This window comes from Homo sapiens, chromosome 13 (assembly GCF_000001405.40).
Source record: "Homo sapiens chromosome 13, GRCh38.p14 Primary Assembly".
NCBI classification, from domain to species: Eukaryota; Metazoa; Chordata; class Mammalia; order Primates; family Hominidae; genus Homo; species Homo sapiens.
The window spans coordinates 89323531-89346038 of NC_000013.11; the positions used below are offsets into that span (position 1 = coordinate 89323531).

Sequence of the window (22508 nt, forward strand, 5' to 3'; positions counted from 1 at the left end):
TATTTTCCTGTAGAGCAAAATAACTGACAATAAGGCATTTGAATATTGGTTTTAAGTGAAAAAGTCTTCCAGGAGGAAAGCATTTTAAAAAAAAAAACAAAAAAAACAAAAAAAAGGAAAACTCACACTCCTCCGTGATGAAAGACCCCAAACTCATCAACTTGCCAAGAGATGACAGAATGTTTATCAGAGGATGGTGTTATGCTCAGGGTCAGCATTAGCCTTTGCATTTGGATAGTCAGGAATGTCACTGGTGATAACTAGATAAGCTTTTGTAAAAGGTAATCCCTGTGGTTAATCTTGTGAATAAGATCCATCACTATCAACATGGTCATTTTATTTATGAGCCAGTTGACTAAGCCCAGTATCAGGTAGAAAAAAAAAAAAAAAAAGCTGACTGACGTTCAAATAATGGAGTCTTTTTCAACTAGTTATTAAAAGCATTTTCTGAAGATGTGTGTGTGTGTGTGTGCGTACGTTCACACAGGCAAAAATATTCTGAAAATATATGACCATTCACACAGTTTCTTCCACAGACTGCGTTTTTCAGACTTTCTGTTATTAAATTTTATAATGTTTTTGCTTCCAAGTCTTTGACCTGTGGAAGTAAAAATGTTACTGGACAAAGTTAAACATTTAAGGAAAACTATTTAAGGCTATTGCAATGAAAGAGAAAAACAAAAAAAGCAACCTGAACTGAAGACATAAATAATGAGAGAATTTTTAAAAGCTGGTATGAGGGGATTATATGTCATTCATATTTGGTAATTGGTCTTACCCAAAAGTAAAGTAAACTTTCTTTTATCTTCATGACAGGAGATAGTTTTACAACTTGGAACAAGGGGCCCTCTGAAGTTAGGTCCCTACCTTCCTTCAGAGACTAGCATAGGAACACTATCTTTTTAATGGTTACATTTCAAAGGGATGGCTTTGAGATCCTTGAGAAAGAAAGTACTGGGTTGTAAACTGTCAAAAGGCTTTTTGAAAAACAAAACAAAACAAAAAACCTTATATTTCAAAAGGACAGAAAAAAATTGCAATTACAAGTTTTCTAAACTAAATACTTTGAAAAAAATGAGGTGAGAGATCTCTCTGGTTAGGTCATCTAGATTTTGTAAGGGCTGTAAAGGCAAAAAGACACCTCTCTGCAATTTGTCAAGCTGAGGGAAGTGGTCAGACCATCTTGGTCAGATCACTTTTGCCTGTTAATGAGGGTGAGGCAGGAGAATAGGGTCTGGAGGCAGGGAACATAAGGCCAATTTACAATGACTTCCTAGAACTAAATCAAATGGAAACACTTCAGCAATGACAGGAATGTGAATGGCTTTGCAACTTCACTTTCTCCTCTCCTTTTATATAGACAATACACACTCAGTAACATCCTCTCCATTTACTTAGGGGGCATACTGAGTAAATGACTTTGTAACTTGACTTTATCCTCTTCATTTACAAAGGGCATACACCAAGTAGCCAATGGGAAGCCTCTAGAAGTTATTGAAACTCTAGAAAATTCTGTAACCAGGGATCTTGAGCCCCTATGCTCGGGCCTGCTTCCACCCTGTGGAGAGTACTTTCATTTTCAATAAATCTCTGCTTTTGTTTCTTCATTCTTTTCTTGCTTTGTTTGTGCATTTTGTCCAATTCTTTGCTCAATACGCCAAGAACCTGGAGACCCTCAACCATAACAAGGGTAGATTTCTATCTATGGCAATCTCTCTTTTTATTCAAAGTGGACAACCCCATGAATGACTAGAATTTCTGGCAGATAGGAAATTTTACTTTCTCTACTTTCATTCAAGCTATTTCTACAATGACTTCAGTTTCTCCATTTTCAACAAGGGATAGGGTATCTCGTAGGAATATCTGTAAACCAATTGTTAGCTTTTCTGGTGATAAGGAACTGTCCAGGAGGACGTATGGATGAATACAGGGAAATTTGACAATACAACAGAAGGAAGTACCTCATATATAGCACTTCCACTTAAAGATGGGGAGCTGATGACCATACCCGGTTTAATGGCAATTTTGATCATACAACATCCAAAATGATGGTTATTATGTGCAGCTAAGGTTATTGGGTCTCATAGCAAGCCAAAATCAGGCATTCAATACCTAACAGAACCTAGCTATAAGCCAGAATCAGTTTCTCTGAAGAATTACTGTTTAAAATTGGGCATTCAATGATTTTAGGGTCTACACTGTGATTTCTTACCTTACCTTGCCATGATATACATAATATTTCTGTTTCATAGTAGTAAGCTGTCTAAGTCAGAGCTGTTTATCCTATTATTTAAAGGTTATATCTCAGCTGTTGCAAACCTCTGAGATCCAGGAAACTAAATGGGGTGCCAGACCCTGGAATATTATTGGGAATTTTCTCATGCTCTGGAAATGACATGTCTTAGTGTTTATCTAAGTTGCTTGCAACCCCCACTTATAAAATCCAGGTAGCTTAACTTCATCAATACAGTGAAACAATTTAATATCTTGTGAAATTTTTAGTCCCTAAAAGGTATTGTTGTTGCGAATTAAAACAATAAATGTCTATTGTTATTCTTGCTAGGTGAAAAAAAGAATGCCTGGTGATATTTACCGTTAATTTTTTTTTTAATTGTATTTGACAGATGGATAGCCTCAAACAAGTTTCCAGAGATTATGTCAGTTTTCTGTAGTACATGTGGAGCTGCAGATTCAATTAGGGATAGCACCTGATTAAACTTAAAATAATCTCAAACAGTTTTGCATTAGCCAAAGAAGTGAAATACACATTTTAGAAAAATCAGTAGCCTTATACCTTTCAAGTCTCTGATTGTGACTTTTTTTCTACAATTTCTCCATGAATGTGATATTAATTTCACTGTACTGCCTTAGTCAAGAAGAAAGTTCACTTGATTGATCCTATTATAATGAACTTCGCTCCAAAGGTAAAGGAATAATGTGGAGTTCTACAAGTTAGCAAGTATGCATATGGAGCATATCACTCAATAACAAGATGAGATTACAGAGCAGCTGGCCCATCATGAGACAAACTCAGGCAAATATTTCAATTATCATCTTAGTGAAAAACCCAAATTTTGGCTGGTGCACTACTGTGGTGTTTTGGGTCCCTAAGCATCAGCATCTCTTTGAGATAACATGTCCATGCTTTTTTTTTTCCAATGCTTTTCCACTGTGAAAATATCTGAAGTTCCTTTGGAAAAGGCTATCTGCAAGATTACTTTTGCAATTTCCACTGAGTTCTTTCTTAAGAAAATTCAGCCTTCTCTTTATTTAAAAGGGCCCATGGAGTGAGCCCAGGAGGCGGAGATTGCAGTGAGCAGAGAGAGCGCCACTGCACTCCGGCCTGGGCAAAAAAGCCAGACTCATCTCAAAAAAAAAGAAAAAAAAAAAAAAAGGGCCCATGGAATGGCTCTGGTTTCAAATTGGAAGAGGATCTGGGATTCCACTATAGCCCTCAATTTAGGATTCTTTGGACCTGGCCATTAATTTTGCCTGCTCATGTACTTCAGTACTTTGGAAACCATAAACAAATTGTTACCATTTAAGTTATTGCCTCTTATGAGTGAAACAATTATGATTGTTCCATTTTTTTTCCTGTTTATTAGGGTAGCTGTGTTAGTCAGGGTTCTCCAGAGAACAAAACCAATAAGAGATTATATACATATATAGTGTGTGTGTGTGCATCTCTGTGTATCTCAAGGAATTATGGAGACTAAGAAGTCATATATTCTGCCATCTGTAACTTGGAGACCTGGGAAAGCTGGTGGTTTAGTTTGACTGCTTGAGATCCAGAGAGCCAATGGTGTAGATTCCAGTTCAAGTCTGAAGGCCTGAGAACTAAGAAGCAGAATCCCTGAGGATAGGAGAAGATTGATGTCCTAGCTTAAAGAATCATGCAGAGTTTGAGTTTATGCCTTATTTCTGGCCTTTTCAGGCCCTCCCCAGATTGAATGACATCCACTCATATCAAAGAGGGCATCTCCTTTACTCAGTACATCAACTCACATGTTAATCTATTCTGGAAACACACAGAGACAGGAAGAAACAATGTTCAACCAGACATCTGGTTTCCCATGGCCGAGTCAAATTGGCAGATAAGATTAACCATTATAAGTCCACCCTTAGTCAATTTGGCACCTATATCTATCTCTTTATACCCTGCCTAATCTTCAAATGAAGCCAGTAACAAGATCACAGTTCTTCCTAACAATCAAAATATTCTTCATATAACAAAAATGCACTAGTCTTTCCCCAGAAGAGGAGGTAAATTTCCTGATTTTCTTTGATATCCCATAACTTATATTCTGTGATGTAAAATTAACAATATTTAATTACTGTGGCATAAAGTCAATACATCTTAAATCATCTGATAAAGGATTAAGAGATGAAATAAAATACATATACATACACACATACACATATATACATACACACACGTATTCATAACCAAGTAAGGAAAAAGTACTCATGAGAATTAAAGTCCTCATTTCTCTAACTACTCACATGGTCATACCTGGTATTTTTAACTACCTTTTTCTGCTAAACATTCTGTGTTCCCTTCTCCTTCAGCAACACTTTAGCTGGTCACAGTTCTTTACCTAGTGGGGTGACCCAAACCTTCATTCTTGAGAGTCTGTGCCATTAGTCGTCCTGCCTGGATAATATTGCTCTAGTTTTCCATTGATGTTAATCATAAGGCAAGGTAATACTAACAGACACGGTAAAAAAAAAAAAAAAAAAATTCCTGCATTCCTGCCGGGGGCGGAGGCTCACGCCTGTAATCCTAGCACTTTGGGAGGCAGAGGCGGGCAGATCATGAGGTCAGGAGATCGAGACCATCCTGGCTAACACGGTGAAACCCCGTCTCTACCAAAAATACAAAAAAATTTTTGTAAATTTTGTAAATTCCTGCATTCCGGCTACTCAGGAGGCTGAGGCAGGAGAATTGTGTGAACCCGGGAGGCGGAGCTTGCAGTGAACCGAGATCTCGCCACTGCATTCCAGCCTGGGCGACAGAACGAGCCTCCATCTCAAAAAAAAAATAATAATAAAATAAATATAAATAAAAATTCCTGTATTCCAGACATACACTTCTTTCCTTCTTTGTTCAGTAAGTCTAATTTACTATTGGCAGTGAGGATCAGTCACTTCAGTCAGCACCGTAACTCCCTTAGTTGCCTGTTGATTCAGAAGCATGAAGAGCCCAAAGCGTCCACATAGTCCTTGCTTTTAATTTAACGGAATTATTTTTGTGTTTCCTGGTGAAATCACTTATCCCTTTGGAACTAAGACCTCTACGCTAGCAAAACATAAAATTGTACAAGAAGCAAAACTTTTGATAGTTGGTCACTGGGTAAAATAGTTAGTAGTGCCACTCCCATTTCTAGACCTCGTTTCATGGACCAGTGAATCTTGGCTATGGGGAAGAAAAGTACTATATATTGGATGTAGATTTAGAGCATATAAGCCTTTTGAATAACTTTATCCTAGCCCTCCAAGGTATTGCCAGCTAGCTCACATTGTAACTTAGTATTCAAAAGCCATGCCACTTTTCTATCAAACACTGTGAGGATTGTGGGGAACATAGTAAAATGAATAAATTCAACAACCATGGGATTATTTATGTTCCTTGATCAGAGGCAATGCCTAAAATATGGCGACCTGAGTATTTACGAAAAACCATAATATATTATGGTTGTTTTGGCAGAAGCGTTACATGAAGGGAAGGTAAGTCCATATTGAGAGTAAGTGTCTATTCTGATAAAAACAAAATGTTGCTACTTCCATGATCAATTAGTCTAATGTAATCAGCTTGCCATGGAATAGTGCTTTATCAGGGACTCAGTGTTGGTCTCTGCTGCTGGCAACCGGGGCACTCAGCAGTGGCTGCACCACATCAGCCTTAGTGAGTGGAAGTCCATGTTGCTTAGCCCACACGTAACTACCATCCTTGCCACGATGATCACCATGTTCATGAGCTCACTAGGCGATGAGAGGGGTGGCTGGTGAAAGAGGATGACCAGTATCCACAGAGCAGGTCATTCTATCCATTTGATTATTAAAACTCCCTCTACTGAGGTCACCCTATAGAAAACGTAAATAATATATTTTACCAATAGCATAAATATTTTTAAAAGATTATTAATATAGTCAAATATTACCAAAAACAAATGAAAGAAAACACAATTATCACATTTTTAAGGAGTAGGAGACATGCATAAGATTGAGTGGAGGATTGAAATGATTTGTGAATGTATGTATGAATCTTTAACAATCAATTTGAAATCCGGTGAAATTAAGAATTTCCATGGAGAATTCATTTACTGAAAGAGAATTCAAAACAAGCAACTTGAATATAGATGTAGTCAAGGTATGAATTTAAATAGAATAAAAATAATCACATAAAAATGACTCAGGCTGAGAAGTCAAAGAGAGTATTTATCAAACCATGAAGGATTGATTGTTCGGGAATTATTTGTTTCAGACTAAAGAAAAATAGTGGTATGTTTTCCACATCATTTGTTTAGGTGGAGAATTCTTTGTATAAAAAACAAAGGAAGCAAGCATAAAAATAGAAAATATAAAGATAATATGATGACCTGAGTATTTATCAAAAAACCAAAATACAATTATTTTTAAAATTAGTCTTTGGGATTGTGTATGTGCACACATACATACGCATATATCTGTAATTAACATCCTATTCAATTCAATAAGAAAAAATCAAATATATGAACACACATATATGTGTGTGTGTATATACATACATATATATATATATATATATATATATATATATATATGGAAAAAAACCATCAGTATTGGATACCTATGCAATATTCAACCTAGAAATTATCTTTAACTTGAGTTTTAAAGTTGGATGTAGTATTAGTCTGTTCTTTCATTGCTATAAAGAAATATTTGAGTCTGGGTAACTTCTAAGAAAAGAGGTTTAATTGGCTCATGGTTCTGCAGACTGTACAGGAAGCATGGCAGCATCTGCTTCTAGTGAGGCCTCAGGGAGCTTTTACTCACAATGTAAGGAAAAACAGGAGCAAGCATCTTACATGGCAGGAGCAGCAGCAAGAGAGAGAAGGAGGTGGGAGGTGCTACACACTTTGAAGCAACCAGATCTCATGAAAACTCACTCACTATCTCAAGGACAGCCATCAAGGGAATGGTGTTAAATCATTCAGGAGAACCCCGTCCCCATGATCCAATCGTCTCCCATCAGGCCTCACCTCCAACATTAGGGATTAAAATTGAACATGAGATTTGGGTGGGAACACAGATCCAAACCATATCATATATATTTATGTAAACACACATATATATGATATGTATATATTTTATATATGTATGTGATATATATGTATGTGGTGTATATATCATATGTACCACAGATATATGATATAGGTATATGATATGTATATATATACACACACAGACACATACACACACTGCATGGATATATGTATACATAATGTATGTATGTATGTATGCATATGCATGCATACATATTCATTGCCTTTTATAAATTTATATTGTGCATTGTATTTTCCTTTGCATTTTAGAATAATTCTGTTATTTAAATATTCTTGTTGCTATTATAAATGTGTTTCTCATTATATTTTGTAATAGAAAAATCTTGGAATGTAGATATTTAGATGACCAGTTTCAGAAATGCTATTTTCTCACTCTTGTCAATCAAAAGCACTGTAGGTCTGAACGTGATGTCTCATGTCTGTAATCCTACCACTTTGGGAGGTCAAGGTGGGAGAATCCCATGAACCCAGGAGTTCAAGGTTACGGTGAGCTATGATTGTGCCACTGCACTCCAGCCTGGGTAACGGAGTGAGACCCTGTCTCTAAAAAGAAAAAAGAAAAAAAAAGCATGATATATTGTTGATTGATGTTTGGATGGCTTTCAATGAATCATGCCTCTCAGTATTTAATTTGTAACATCAACTCTAGTTTCGGCCGTGTGACTCACTTTCACCAAAACAAGTGCTCTAAAATGCTCATAGTACTACTACTATAGTAACCCAAACTTTAAAATGACCCAAATACACATCAACAGTAGAATGGATAAGTTGTGATATATTTTCATAATGGAATTCAATGAAAATGTAAATTACAACTACATGATTAGAAACATAATATTGAGCACAAAAGGGACACACAAAAGTGTACATAGCATGTGGCTCTGTTTATGTAAAGCATAAACAAGGAAACAAAAGTCTAGTCTATGTCAGCAATATAATGTTAACCCTTGGATGTAATGCCAGGTTCCTTCAATGCTAATTATGTCTTGTTTTTTATCTAGGTAATGGATTTGTTCAGTTTGAAACAATCAGGCTCTACATATATATGCTCATGTTTATATAAATATACTGCCTCAAAATGCAAAAGACAAAAAAAGTCATCCTGTATCTTCTCCTAGAGTCTTTAAAAAGTCAGTTTAATGGGCAAAGAATGAATGTGCTTGAAAATCTAGATGAAGACAATATTAATCAACCTTGTTTATTTGTTTCCCCAAAGAGCTATGCCTTCTATGTTTAAGTATATAAAAGGTGGATTTAATCAGAGGAAACCAGGAATGTTTTAATTAACAAGGGAAAGAAAGAGAATGCTATTATTTAAAAATAACAATATATCTCCAATGACTAAGTCACCAAAAATATGCAGATATTTTAATTATTAGATGATATTAAGAGCAAAAATTATAACTATTATACAACCCTTTTATAATAAATATTAATTTTGATCATAGACTTTAAAATATTGACAAATGTTTAGTTTAAAAAGTAACTATAATTTCATATATATGAATCATTAGATAATATATATTATTTGTTCCAAGATATCTAATTAATCTGAATAAAATATATAAAGCTGTGCATAACGATTCTTTCATTAGGTATTTCTATTGATGCTGTTGTAATTTATGCCAGTATTTTGATAGAAAGTCACCAAAACATCATTTAATTTGAGTAGATAACGAAAATGTTGAATGAGTCTCCTAATAAGAACCCAACTTTAGCAAAAACACATTATCAGTCACAAAATATAAATAAAAATATTTTAAAGGGGATGCTAAAAGAAATATGAGAAAGTAAAAGTCACACTATTAAAAAAAGATTAAATATAATTTATATATGCAGTACCATGAAGTTTCATGGTATTTATCACATAACCAAGAATTCTGATTAAAATAGATTTTTCAATATTTTGTATCAAGAAATAACTATATTCCATATTAGCTTATAACAGATTCTGTGTAGATACAGAATCAAAGTGTCTGGGTTTTGTTTTTATGTATAAATGTTTTGGCAGCCCTTCAATGTGGGCTTTTCATTTTCTACACCAAAGCTAAGGAGACAGTGAATTCTTTACTGTATAAAATTATGCTTTTGGAAACTATACTTTTCAGCTTCTCCTTCATCCATTAGTTAGCACTCCCTGATGGCTTGGGGTGTGGTGATTAATATATTATTGAATTAGGCATCAATCCAGGAAGCAATGGAATGTGTGAACTGAATGAGACTGTACAATTATCTGGTTCAGTTTTTTGAATTATAAAATAGATGTGAAAATACGTGGCCCAGAAAAATTAAATGCCTGACCCAAATGAAAAATACTCAGGTATAAACACTGTCAGTATAAATAATAGAACTCCTAGATTGTTTTCTTGCATGTTTCAGTCTATGCCTTCAGGATCCTATTGACAATATTTTCAGAGTATAGGTATTCTCCATTATGAAACTTGGGTAAACTGTTGACTTAGCTTCTACTCGAATACATTTGTTTAATGTAAATACAAACTAGAAATGTTTGTTATAATAAGTTATTTATAGAAACAAATACCATGTGTGAGATTCCCAGGTTCTAAACAGTAGCAAAGAATTTTATATGGAATCAGACCATTTTAAATAATGCTTTCAAATGAAAGAAAAAGACAATTAACTGACAGTAGATTTTTCTTTTTAAGTTGGATGTCATTTTAATATTGATTGGTTAATTAACCTTCCCCTTTTGAATGTTTCTATCAATTTTTCTTTCATGTTATAATTAGACCATTTTCTTTGACATAGATAACAAGCCTGTATTTTAGTTTTATTCCCATCAATGTTCTCTTTTTTCCCTTCCAGTATACAAAAGATAACACAAGAAATTTACAACTCAGATATTTCTGAGTGAACCCTGATCAGCTTTATCCAAAAGTATTTCGCCTGAAGTAGGTCTTGTGTATCACCTTTCCCCAGAAATCAGAGATGGATGGTGAGGGGAGAAAAGAGAATCAATTCTTTAAAAAAGAAAATTATGCTTATTTCATATCAATATTTCTTTGAGAAATAAACTGAATACCAGCAGCATAAATATCTATTTGAATGGACCAGAGAGTAAACAAGGCAGCCGAAGATTTCAGAAAAAAAATAAAAGTCATTTGAGAGTAGGTGTCATCTTTGGTGCTTTTTTCTTTGAAATGTTTACAGTTTGCTTGCTTGTTTGTTTCACTAATGGGAGACCGAACTGTAAGAATGAAAAGAGAAAATAAGGAAAATTAAGAACTTAGAAATCCTATAAAATATTGCAACAGCGTTATGATGTGGGAGGACAAGAATGAGCATACAGTGCCTATCAATGAGGAAGAGTCTTAATAGAAAGCCCAGGCTAAAGAGTTGAGGCTCTCAGTGAAATGGAATACTAGAAATGTGTGACCACTTAGGAACAAATGATAGGTAACATCAAACAAGCTCATTATCAAATTTGAATAAAATGGCCTAAGTATATTGTAGAGAGTAAAAATAAATTTTGTCTGGAGAAAGAACATACCAGAGAAAACCTTAAATTACCAGTTTTTCAAACACACCAATTAGTCTAAGCAATTGTTACTTGACACACCTATAATTAGAAATTAATGAACAGAAAGTAATAAGTCATATGGACTACAGACAAAGATGGACAGGTGGTCTAGATATTGAATTGATCACACAGTGGAATAATCTATATACAAAACCCCCTGGACATGAGTTTACCTATATAACAAACATGCACATGTACCCCAAACCCAAAATAGCACTTTAAAACAAAGAAAAAGAAGACCATGTCACCAATATGGATGATAAGAGAATGTCATACCACTACTGGGGGATCGTCTTTGACCGCAAATTAAACAAGATGCTACAGCACACATATTAGAACAGCTAAAATCCAGAACCCTGACACTTCAGGCTGACAAGGATGCAGAGAAACAGAAACTCTCGTTCATTTCTAGTGGGAACGCGAGATGGTATACCCACTTTGGAAGACAGTTTCATATTTTCTCATAAAACTAAACATACACTTACTATAGAATGCAGCAGTCGGCCAGGTGCAGTGGCTCAGGCCTGTAATCCCAGCACTTTGGGAGGCCGAGGTGGGTGGATCACAAGGTCAGAAGATGGAAGCCATCCTGGCTAACACGGTGAAACCCCATCTCTACTAAAAATGGAAAAAATTAGCCGGGCGTGGTGACGGGCACCTGTACTCCCAGCTACTTTGGAGGCTGAGGCAGGAGAATCGCTTGAACCCGGGAGGCAGAGGTTGCAGTGAGCCGAGATGGTGCCACTGCACTCCAGCCTGGGGGACAGAGCAAGACTCTGTCGAAAAACAAATAAAAAAAAGAAAAAGAATGCAGCAGTCATGCTCCTTAGTACTTACCCAGAGAAATCAAAAACTTATGTCTACTTAAAAACTTGCACATACAAGTTTATAGCACCTTTGTTCACAATTGCCAAACTTGGAAGAAAATATGTTTTTCTATTTTTAGTAGATGAATGGTACAAATGGACAGTGGAATATTATTTGGTGCTAAAAATAATGAGCTAAACGCCATGAAAAGACATGGAAGGAAATTAAGTGTACATTACTAAGGGAAAGAAGCCAGTCTGAAAAGAGTACATAGTGTGATTCCAACTATATCACATCCTGGAAAAGGACAGCAAAGGAGACAGTGAAAGATCAATGGTTGCAGATGTTGGGTTGCAGGTGCTTGTAGAGGGTGGAAAAGGTGAATAAGAAGAGCATGGAGGATTTTTAGAGCAAGAAAACTATTTTGTATGATACTGTGATGGTGATATATGTCATTGTCAAGACCCACAGAATGTACATCTCCAAGAGTGAGTCCTAATGTGAACTACAGACTTTGGGTAATAATGATGTGTCAAGGTAGGCTCATCAATAGTAAGAAGTGTACCACTGTGGTATGGGATGTTGATAGTTGGGGAGGTTGTATTTGTCTATAAGGACAGGGGTTGTATCTTTACAAAATAAAGTTTAGCTATTAAAAGAAAAAGAAATATTATAGGATATAAACTTTCATAGAGAATTTTTATTTAATACATAAATTTATTATGCATTTATTTTAAAACATAAATAAATGAAAAGTAAAATGAGTGAAATAAAAAAATAAATAGGCTGAACAGTAGACTAGGCATGCAGAAGAGAGTGAATTTGGAGATAAGTTCAAAACAAAAGGTGGAAAGTAAAAAGCAAAAATGAATATAAGTAGGAAAAGGGTCAAAGCAAAAATAGCATTTGTTGGCCGGGCGCAGTGACTCACACCTGTAATCCCAGGACTTTGGGAGGCTGAGGTGGGTGGATCACTAGGTCAGGAGATCGTGACCTTCCTGGCTGACATGGTGAAACCCCGTCTCTACTAAAAATACAAAAAACTAGCCAGGCATGGTGGCAGGCACCTGTAGTCCCTGCTACTAGGGAGGTTGAGGCAGGAGAATGGCGTGAACCCAGGAGGCAGAGCTTGCAGTGAGCCAAGATGGCGCCACTGTACTCCAGCCTGGGCGACAGAGTGAGCAAGACTCCGTCTAAAAAATAAAAAAATAAAAAAATAATTAAAAAATAGCATTTGTGTAATTATTTTTGCAGTAGAAGAAAAGAAAGGAAGAATGATGCAGAGGCAATATTGAGAGGGATTTGGGGCAGGAATTTTTCAAAATTCATTAGAGTTATTAAAGAACAGTTTAAAACTAATAATTCCAAGAAGGAGGGATAGACTGCTAAAAAAAAAAAAAAAAAAAAAAAAAAAGCTAATAATTTCAAGAAAGAGGGGAGGGAAGGATTTTAAAACGAGCCAGAGAAAACACATAGGTGCCTTTAAAGGAGAAGCAGGAAGACTGGGAGCTGTCAACAGATATGTTGGAAAAAATAAAGAGTGGAATAACATTTTAAAAGTATTGACAGAGAATATACCAAATGATAATTCATTATATAGAAAATAAATATATTTTCAAAGTGAAGGTAAAAAAATTTATTCCATTCAAACAATATTAGAATATGCTAACAAAAAAAAATACTAATAAGTACTAGTAAATAAGAACCTATCCTAAGAAAGCTGATACTGAACAAATAATAGGCAGAAATAACTGAAGACTAACATAATGCTTAAAGATTTGGAAATATCTAAATGTATGCTAATTGGTGAAATAAAAATAATAATTATAGCTACTGTATTTAAAATATATACAGAATTAAAATGCATGTCAACAATGGCATACAGACAAAAGGATGTGGAATGCAGTTGCTAAGAGCTTAGCATTATCAAGGAAATAGTAAAGAATGTTATCAATATCAGTTTAAAAATGCATACTATCATCTCGAGTAATCACTAAAAAAGAATAAAGAACTTACAATGGAAATTACACATATTTTTAATTACATGAACAAACCTGTAGGATTTATCTAAATCAAGTGCTTAGAAGCAAACAATTCATTTTCACTTGATATTTATTAGTTTTCTATATTGCTGTGTAATAAACTAACAAAAAATTAGTGCTGTAAAAGCCATTTATTAGTTCGCAGTTCTCTATGTCAGAAGTCTGAGCACAGTGGCAGAACGCGGTGGCTCACGCCTGTAATCCCAGCACTTTGGGAGGCCAAGGCGGGCAGTCACTTGAGGTCAGGAGTTCGAAACCAGCCTGGCCAACATGGTGAAACCCTGTCTCTACTAAAAATACAAAAATTAGCCGGGCATGGTGGCGGGTGCCTGTAATCCCAGCTACACAGGGGGCTGAGGCAGGATAATCGTTTGAACCCGGGAGGCGGAGGTTGCAGTGAGCCAAGATCGTGTCACTGCACTCCAGCCTGGGCGACAGAGCAATACTTCGTCTCAAAAAAAAAAAAAAAAAAAAAGTCTAAGCACAGCACAACTGAGTTATCTACAATAGGTTTCACACGGCTAAAATCAATGTATTGGCCTGGGCTGTGTTCTCTGGAGTTCAGTGTGTTCTTCCAGTGTCATTGAGGTTGTTGGCAGCGTTCAGCTCCTTGTAGTTGCAGACTGAACTCCTGATTTTCTTGAGGCCACAGGACAATGGTCAATCACTCTTAGCTCCCAGAGGCTACTTCAGGTCCTTGCCATGTGAGGCCTCTTCCATTTTCAAAGCCAGCAGTGGAGAATCTCACATCAAATCTCTCTCATAATTCATATCTTTTTCTGGGAAAAATAGGGTACTCTTAAAATGATCACTGACTAGATCAGAGAGACTGAGGATAACCTCTCTCTCTTAAATCAACTGACTTTGGACTTTACTTACAAATGCAAAATTCCTTCACAACAGCAGAAAATTAGTGTTTCATTGAATGCTTGGGAAACGTGTGTGTATACCAGGAAGCAAAGAATAAAAGTTAACTAAGCCCAAATTTTAGAGGAAGATTTAGAATGTGAGAAAGTAGAAATTACTGATATTAGGAATAAAAAAGGAGAAAATATTAGCTGCAATTACTATTCAATGTTGACATTTTTCCAGAGATTTTAGCTATTTCAATAATACATTAAAGTAAATATAATTTATAAGAAGTTAAAAGTAACAAAATTGCTATGGTTTGCAGGCATAATTTTGTACATAAAAAAGAAGAATTGAAAGTGAGATCAGCAACATAACTTGATTAAAGTTCAATATACAGAAATCCATTGTACATAATAAACAATTTGAAAATTAAATTCAATTAAGTTGAAATGACAACATAAAATATAAAATGCTTGAAAATAAATCCAATAAAAATGTATAAGACTTCTACATGGAAAACTTATATTATTAAAAATATTAAAAGAGCAAAACAGTTGAGAGATATATAAAAATTATGGGTTATAAGACTTCATATTATAAGGTTAATTCTCTATGATTTGATCCATATATAGAATATAATCTCAATCCAAATCTCAATAGTTTTGTGTATGTGAAAACTGAGAGGGTGAGTCCAAAATTTATTAGAGAATTAAAAGGCCTAGAAAATATAACACAAAGAGATTAAGCAGGAGGAAATCAAGTTCCAAATAACAAGACCCATGAAAACCTGCTTTAATTAACAAATCACTTTTTGCAGAAATATAAAAAAAAGGCCAACACAATATAATATAGGATCAATAACAAGCCCAGACAAACAGAGTCTTGACTTAGAACAAATGGATATTGAACAGTCATGGGAATAAACAAGCCTTCAGTGAATAGAGCCAGGTCGATAGGACCATGAGTGAAAATTAATCTTATTTCCATCAACCTCAGATGCAATACTATCTAGATGTAAAATATAAAACATTAAAGTTTCTATAGGAAAACATAGAATATTGTCAGGACACTGGCATCATAAAACACTTAAATGGGGTACAAATGAACCTATCCTAAAAAACAGATTGATAATGTGGGTTATAATAAAATTAAGAACATTTGATATTCATCAAAAGACACTCCCAAGTGTACCTGTGACATCTTGGTATATTAATAATATGGAATAAAATATAGCAGTGAAAATTTGTGCAGTAGCAGTTTATTTTTACTGTTATATTTTATTCTTCATTACTAATATATTATACCTAACTACATGTATTTATTCATCTATTGGTGGATGGGTTTTTTTTAATTTGAGACTTTTATAATTAATGCATATATGAAAATTCTTATAAATGTCATTTATTATATACAGATATGCATGCCTGCTGAGTATCTTCCAGGAGAGTATTGCAGGAATATGCATATATACATATTTAGTAAATGTTGCCAAGAAGCTTGCCACAGTGTTTGTAACAATTTAGCCTCTTCTCAGCAATGTTACAAGACTTGTGTGTCTTCTGAGACAATTTTTTTCTGTTTAGCACGTGTCCACAAATGACCATGAAAACATTGCAAGTATTGATTTTGGGATTACAGATAAATTTTACTACATAGGAAAATTCACTAATACAGAATTCATGAATAATGAGGTTAAACTACACACACACACACACACAATATACATATATGTGTATATTTTATACGCACAAATTCATATTTTCAGATTGCTTATTTGGAATTGTTTCTCAAACATGAACATTTCTGAACAAGCTTAACTGATACGTTTACTTCTGAAGTGGAGCATATTCCATCTATTGCTCATCAATTTCATCCCTGAAGAAGGGCAATGAAGTGCATATTCAATTACCTTGTCATCTCATTGAGACCAGAAGGGAAGAATTTGGGGCAGCTAAACAATCTTAACCAGCAGGGATTACTATAGCTCTGAATACTGTGCCAATCTACAGGCCAAAAGTTTTATATTTCTTACTCTAAAACTTAAGAAAAACAGAAAAATACTCTCCTTCAAAGAGATAATATTGCTGTTTTTATTTGCCTCTGTTGCTAATCATGACATGCTATAAATTCATGTTTTCTACCTGATAACCTCATGTCAATCATATAGAGTTATAAAATCTTAATATCACAATCCTCCAATGACAAATGCTGGAGCCAGCCTTAGACATTTTACGTTTCCCTGTGTCCACAATCACCTCTGTTTAAAAAAGCTCCAGATCCAAAACCTGTGGCATTGAAAGCTTGTTCCCTTTTTTATTTTCTATGTAAGCAAAATTAGATTTGTTTTGTAAGCCAATGGTCTCAAAAAGATCAAAAAAAGATGATTTATTTTCTCAAAAATTTTCCCGTTTAATTATTAATAATCAATAATGTTTCTGTATACTGTTAAGTTTACGAAGTAAATCTAAGAAATTTAGAAATGTGTTATATTCTAGTTGTCAATTTTTAAAAATTATGCCACCAAAACAATGGAGTAATTTCAAACTAATTCACTTATTTATTTAATAGAGATTTATATTTCATTTCTCTGTAAATGTACATTGAATAACTCTGTCAAAGTTTATGTAAGTAATCGATATATCTACTTTATGAAAATTCAATATGAAGACCAATTATTTTAGGAACACTGACTTCTTCAGAAGACTTATTGTATTTTTGTTACCCTTGCACTTGTTTTGCTGACCAAAATCTCAGTTTATCATTTCTACAATAATATCTTAAACATAATTCTCCAAATGTCACATTACTATTTTTTGGAGAACTTTTCAGAAGAAAGAATTTGCTTAAAGTATAAATTAATTATTTGAAAGTCTTGACCTAACATCTATTAATTGCTTGGCGATATTCAATGTATCTTACACCCAGAAGCATTTTTAAAATTATGAATTTGCTTTATGTCACACATTTTTAACTCTTTTTATTCATGTCTTTCAAATTCTTATTGGATAATAATGTCTTTTTCTTTCATATTACCGAAGCATCTAATTTCTTTCCATTTCTATTCTGGGACACATCATTGTCTTTGGCTATCCTACTCTCAATTCTTTGCCCTATCTCTGCTTACACAGACCTTTGGAGCAATCTATCGTCTTTGGAGTTTTATGACCAATAATTATTTGAAGAAATCTACCAAGATAACTGACACTTGCCTATGTCCCTTCCATAACTGCATTATTGAGCCTCCTATTTCATCTCCAGAAGAGAGTTGTTCTAGAGTGATGAAGCTCTATCATAGACTGACGGACCTCCATTCACACCTCATATATTAGCATATGAAGTAATTTTCCAGAGTGGCCTTCTCTGAATTCCACACTGAATTGGTCCCCTTCAATATTTTCTCTGCATCACTTCATATTTTTTATGAAATTGACACCGGTGAGAGTGAGTGTGTATATGCAAGAGAGAAACAGAGACAGAGAGAGAGATTACTTTTAATATTGATTTCCCTCACTTGACTATAAATCCCTAAAGGCACGGTTTTCTTTTCTATAGTGTATCCATGTCTACCACAGAGCTGAATTATACACAGTGTTCAAAGACAATTACTGAAAATAATTAATAGAAACAATTGAACAAATGTTTTCTTTCCTTTTAAAGAACATACTCCGAAAACAAGTATGCCTAAACTCAAATATTATTGAGGAAATAATGTTTAACTCTTTTCTTTTGTACCCTAAAATTCTTCAAGGTTGGCAAAGATCTTTATAATTTAGTCACACATATCTAATATTTTAACAATGTAAATGGCTTACAAATATTTATACCACAAATGAATTGGAGTATATTATTTATACACATGCACGTGCCATTGGGATTTCATATTTTGTGCTCAAAAATGCCTGAATGCAGAATGTCCGTTTTGTCAGTGTCATATACACCCAATCTTCTACTTCTCTACCAAATAATTTACTAGGGCCAACTATTAATTAATTTGTTTTGATTTCAGTAATACGGACTTCACCAAAAAATAGTTTATGAAATAATTCCAGATGTCCAAATATGCTACTCAGGATGCTCTGATCTCTAAGCTGCTTTTTCCCTCCCCCAACCTCACCTGTGCCCGCTGCCAGTGAATTTCCAAGCCACTGCAGCAGAGGTCACAACACCGTCTATAGTTTCATATCCACAAGATTTTGAAAAAACACCCAGGCAGGGCAGGCACAACGACCTGTGGAATAAACAGAGTGTGTGCTTAGAGTCTCTCTCTCTGTGTGTCTCTCTATGTACATGTGTGTGTCTGTGTATCTGTGTGTGTGGTGTGTGTGTCCAGCTTTGGATGATATAGTGAACGAATCAGGCAAATTCCACAGGGATCCAGGCCAAAGCTCCCAGCCAAACATCAAAAGACACAATTAAATGGGAGTAGGAATAGCAGAAAAAGGCACTTCTAATGTCTTGTATGAGCTGAGATTAGGGTTTATTCTTGACTTTCATCAAAAGCACATGATGGTCCCAGTGCAGGATGCAAGGATGAAATGCTATTCTGTGGCAGGAGTTGCTTCATTCTGCCCAGGTCAGCTGGCCAAGGTCAGCTCTACTCTGTTCTACCGGCTGAAAGACTGCTGCATTTTTAAGCTATATATCTTGGAGAAAGTTGATCATAACCCTCTCTTTATCTAAATTCTCTCTCCACCTTATCAATGGCATGAAATTTTACTGTGAACATATATTCCTCATTCCTCACTTTTTTTATTTTTCACTGGTGTCTTTCTGACTTAGCATTTCTTTCTCCATTTTGACTTACCTGATTGTTGAGTTTGGAAACAAAAAGGTGTGTGTTTGGCATAGAATATATTGGCTCACCCTTTGTGTCAATTTCACCTTGCTGACTCTCCCTCACAAGGGCACTGTGTATGTCCAGCTGTGTCAGCAACCCTTTGAGAGAAGGGATGGAAATATTAGCCATCTCTGTATCCAAAGCTATGACTCTAATCTGCTCAATTAGTATTAAAACTTATCTTCTCTCTTCGGTATCTTTTTCATGTGTTTGTTCTCAGATATTTGTGAATGACAGAAAGAAATTAAAGGGTAATAGTTACTGGCCATTCAGAACCACACTGTGTAAAATCCAGGAGAAATAAAAAATAATGTGGCAGTAAAATCTATCTGGGATTTAAATAAAATATAAAGAGGGCTGCCCTTGAGCATAATATTAAAGCATGAGTAGATATGCACTAGACAAAAAAGTAGGTAGGGAACACTGAAACTATGAGTAATAACAAAGTTATCTGTCATGTTCTGAGAACTGAAGTCAATTTATTCATAACAGGTATCTGTTTCAAGATGATCAAAGAATGCAGTGGGAGATGCAGATACCTGATACCTGAAACGCTGATATCATTAATATATTGTAAAAAAAAATACCATATATATTATAATAACAAATATTGCAAGAGTGCTAGCCTTGTGGTATTATTAAATGAGGGCCCTTTTTTTCATTATCCCTTCATTAGAACACATGGATTTCATGTCACTAAATAAAACTACACAGTTGTTATAATTACAAGGAGACATTATTTCAGAAGGACTGAGATCTACTGGTACAGGAGGTATAAAGCAGAGGTTTAAAAAAAAAAAAACTGTTGGAGCTGAAATTATCTATAAAATAGTCTCTGTTGAGCATATAATAACAGAAGTCCTGAAGACGAGATTAGTCAATTAGTGCTCATTGTTCTATATAGGTTGATCAAAACATTATGAAAATAGGGTAGTACAGTTTTATTTAAGAAACAAAAGATGAAATCAAATCATAAGGCAAAGCCTGTTATTTTCAGCTGCTAAAAATATCACTTTCTTTTCAGGGTAAAGGCCTAGCAATTTTTTTGTAGAAAGGACTTGTAAATGTTATATGAGTAGGACCAGGGTCAAAAAGGGTCTGTAGCATGTAAATTTCATAAAATAACTTTAAAATTGATTTGAGTGATGAGATATAAGTTATTTTAAGATGTTTTCTAGGTAAGAAGAAGAAAAATTATGCTAAAGTAGCCAATCCAATATGCTTCTTAACAAATATCAATAAAACAAAATGAACAAGGAAAAGCAAGAAGCATCACAAGCACAATTTCAAAACTTAAGCACTAAAAAAAATTAGAAATTAGATCTCAGAATAATAACATATAATCCCTAAGGAAAAATATATTTATGTCAGTGTTGTTGGATATTAATACTATATTAATAAGCACTATTTTAGTTCATGCATTGAATTTATTTTTAAAACAAATCATAACAGATTTTTTGAAATGACTATTGTTAAATATAAATACAGAAATGCATTTTGTTGTTTTTGTTTGTATTAAGAATTAATTTTCTCAAGTTTTCTTTCATAATCTACACAACAAAGAAAAGTCTTACGTATTTATATTTAAAAATTATAAAACCGCAGAAATAATGGGCTAGTTGTAGAATTGACCTGTGGAAGTCTAGAATCCCACTAATTATTAAGATTAAGACAGAGGCACTTTGGAATACGTCTCCATCTGTTGAGAATTCATTATGCAGGATATGATATTAATTCCTGTACAAGTAATTTATTCAACTATTCATATCTCCTTACACAAAGTTTTAAACATAATACAAAATATACTTATTCCTTCAGTCTAATTTACATATTCTTCTCATGTGTAACCTAATCTTCCCTATATCAAATTGATTATTTTATACTTGTCTATTACTCCCACTATATTGAAAGCTATATAGTACAGAAAAAAATGTTCTCTACTAGGCCAGGCATCCTTGCCTACACCAGTAATCCCAGCACTTTGGGAGGCCAAGGCGACGGGATTGTTTGAGCCCAGGAGTTTGAGACCAGTCTGGGCAACATGGCAAAACTCAGTTTCTATACAAATTAGCTGGGCATGGTGACATGCACCTGTGGTCCCAACTATACAGGAAGCTGAGGTGGGAGGATGGCATGAATTTGGCAGGTTGAGGCTGCAGTGAGCTGTAATTACACCACTGCACTCCAGCCTGGTCAACACAGCTAGATTCCATCTTAAAAAAAAATTCTCTATTATGGTTTTATTTTTTAACCCTCAGCCAAGAAAACTGCTGCTAGTCAAAGATCATTTAGTTTAATTAAATTTTTGATTAATTTAAACTTGATTTTCAACTTCTGCTTGCAATTAACTTGACTTTTTATTGCATAATAATGTATATAAAAATTATATCAATGTGCTACTGTCAGAAAATAGTCATTGGTATATCCAATTTTGTTACAATGCTGTTATATTTTAAAATCTTGATTCACTATTATGTGGACAATTAAAGATAATACAATATTCATAACAGTTAATAAAAGGTTTAAAATAATTAAATATAGGCAAGTAAAATACTCCCAAATAAAGAATATAATTTTAGAAACACACTATTAACAGAAGAAAAGAATGCTACTCCAAATATATAATACTATTATTTTGAAATCAATTTATATTTTATTGGATAGTTTTTACATTTTTCTCACATATTACTAGCTTGCTATAAATCACAAAACTGCATATCCATGTTTAAAAATAAGTCAATATATTACAGAAAAATTTATTATCCCCCTTCAAGTAACACACCCATTCTTGAAAAACGTATAGTTCTATAGCTATCTTTCTAAATATATGAGTAAAATTGTAAAACATATATAATTAAAATAGAAATTGATTTCAAAGTAAAATTATTATATATTTGGAGTAGCATTTTTTCTTCTGCTAATAGTGTGTTTATAATTATAACTATGTATATCTATATCTATAGAGATTCATAGATATATACATTTTTCAAGAATGGATGTGTTACTTGAAGGGGGAAATAAATTATATATAGATAGATAGATCTATAGATACATCTATAAACCCACGATGGGGGCTAAAACCACAATGTTATTGTCATGTTAAT

The 22508-nt window shown here is 34.2% G+C and overlaps 1 annotated feature.

The window, feature by feature from the left end:
* Positions 1050–1609: an enhancer, noted in NCBI's record as "OCT4-NANOG hESC enhancer chr13:89976834-89977393 (GRCh37/hg19 assembly coordinates)". NCBI's record gives its function as "activates a minimal SCP1, AML or CMV promoter by ChIP-STARR-seq in naive H9 embryonic stem cells {active_cell/tissue: H9 hESC(naive)}" and the evidence as "EXISTENCE:reporter gene assay evidence [ECO:0000049][PMID:30033119]".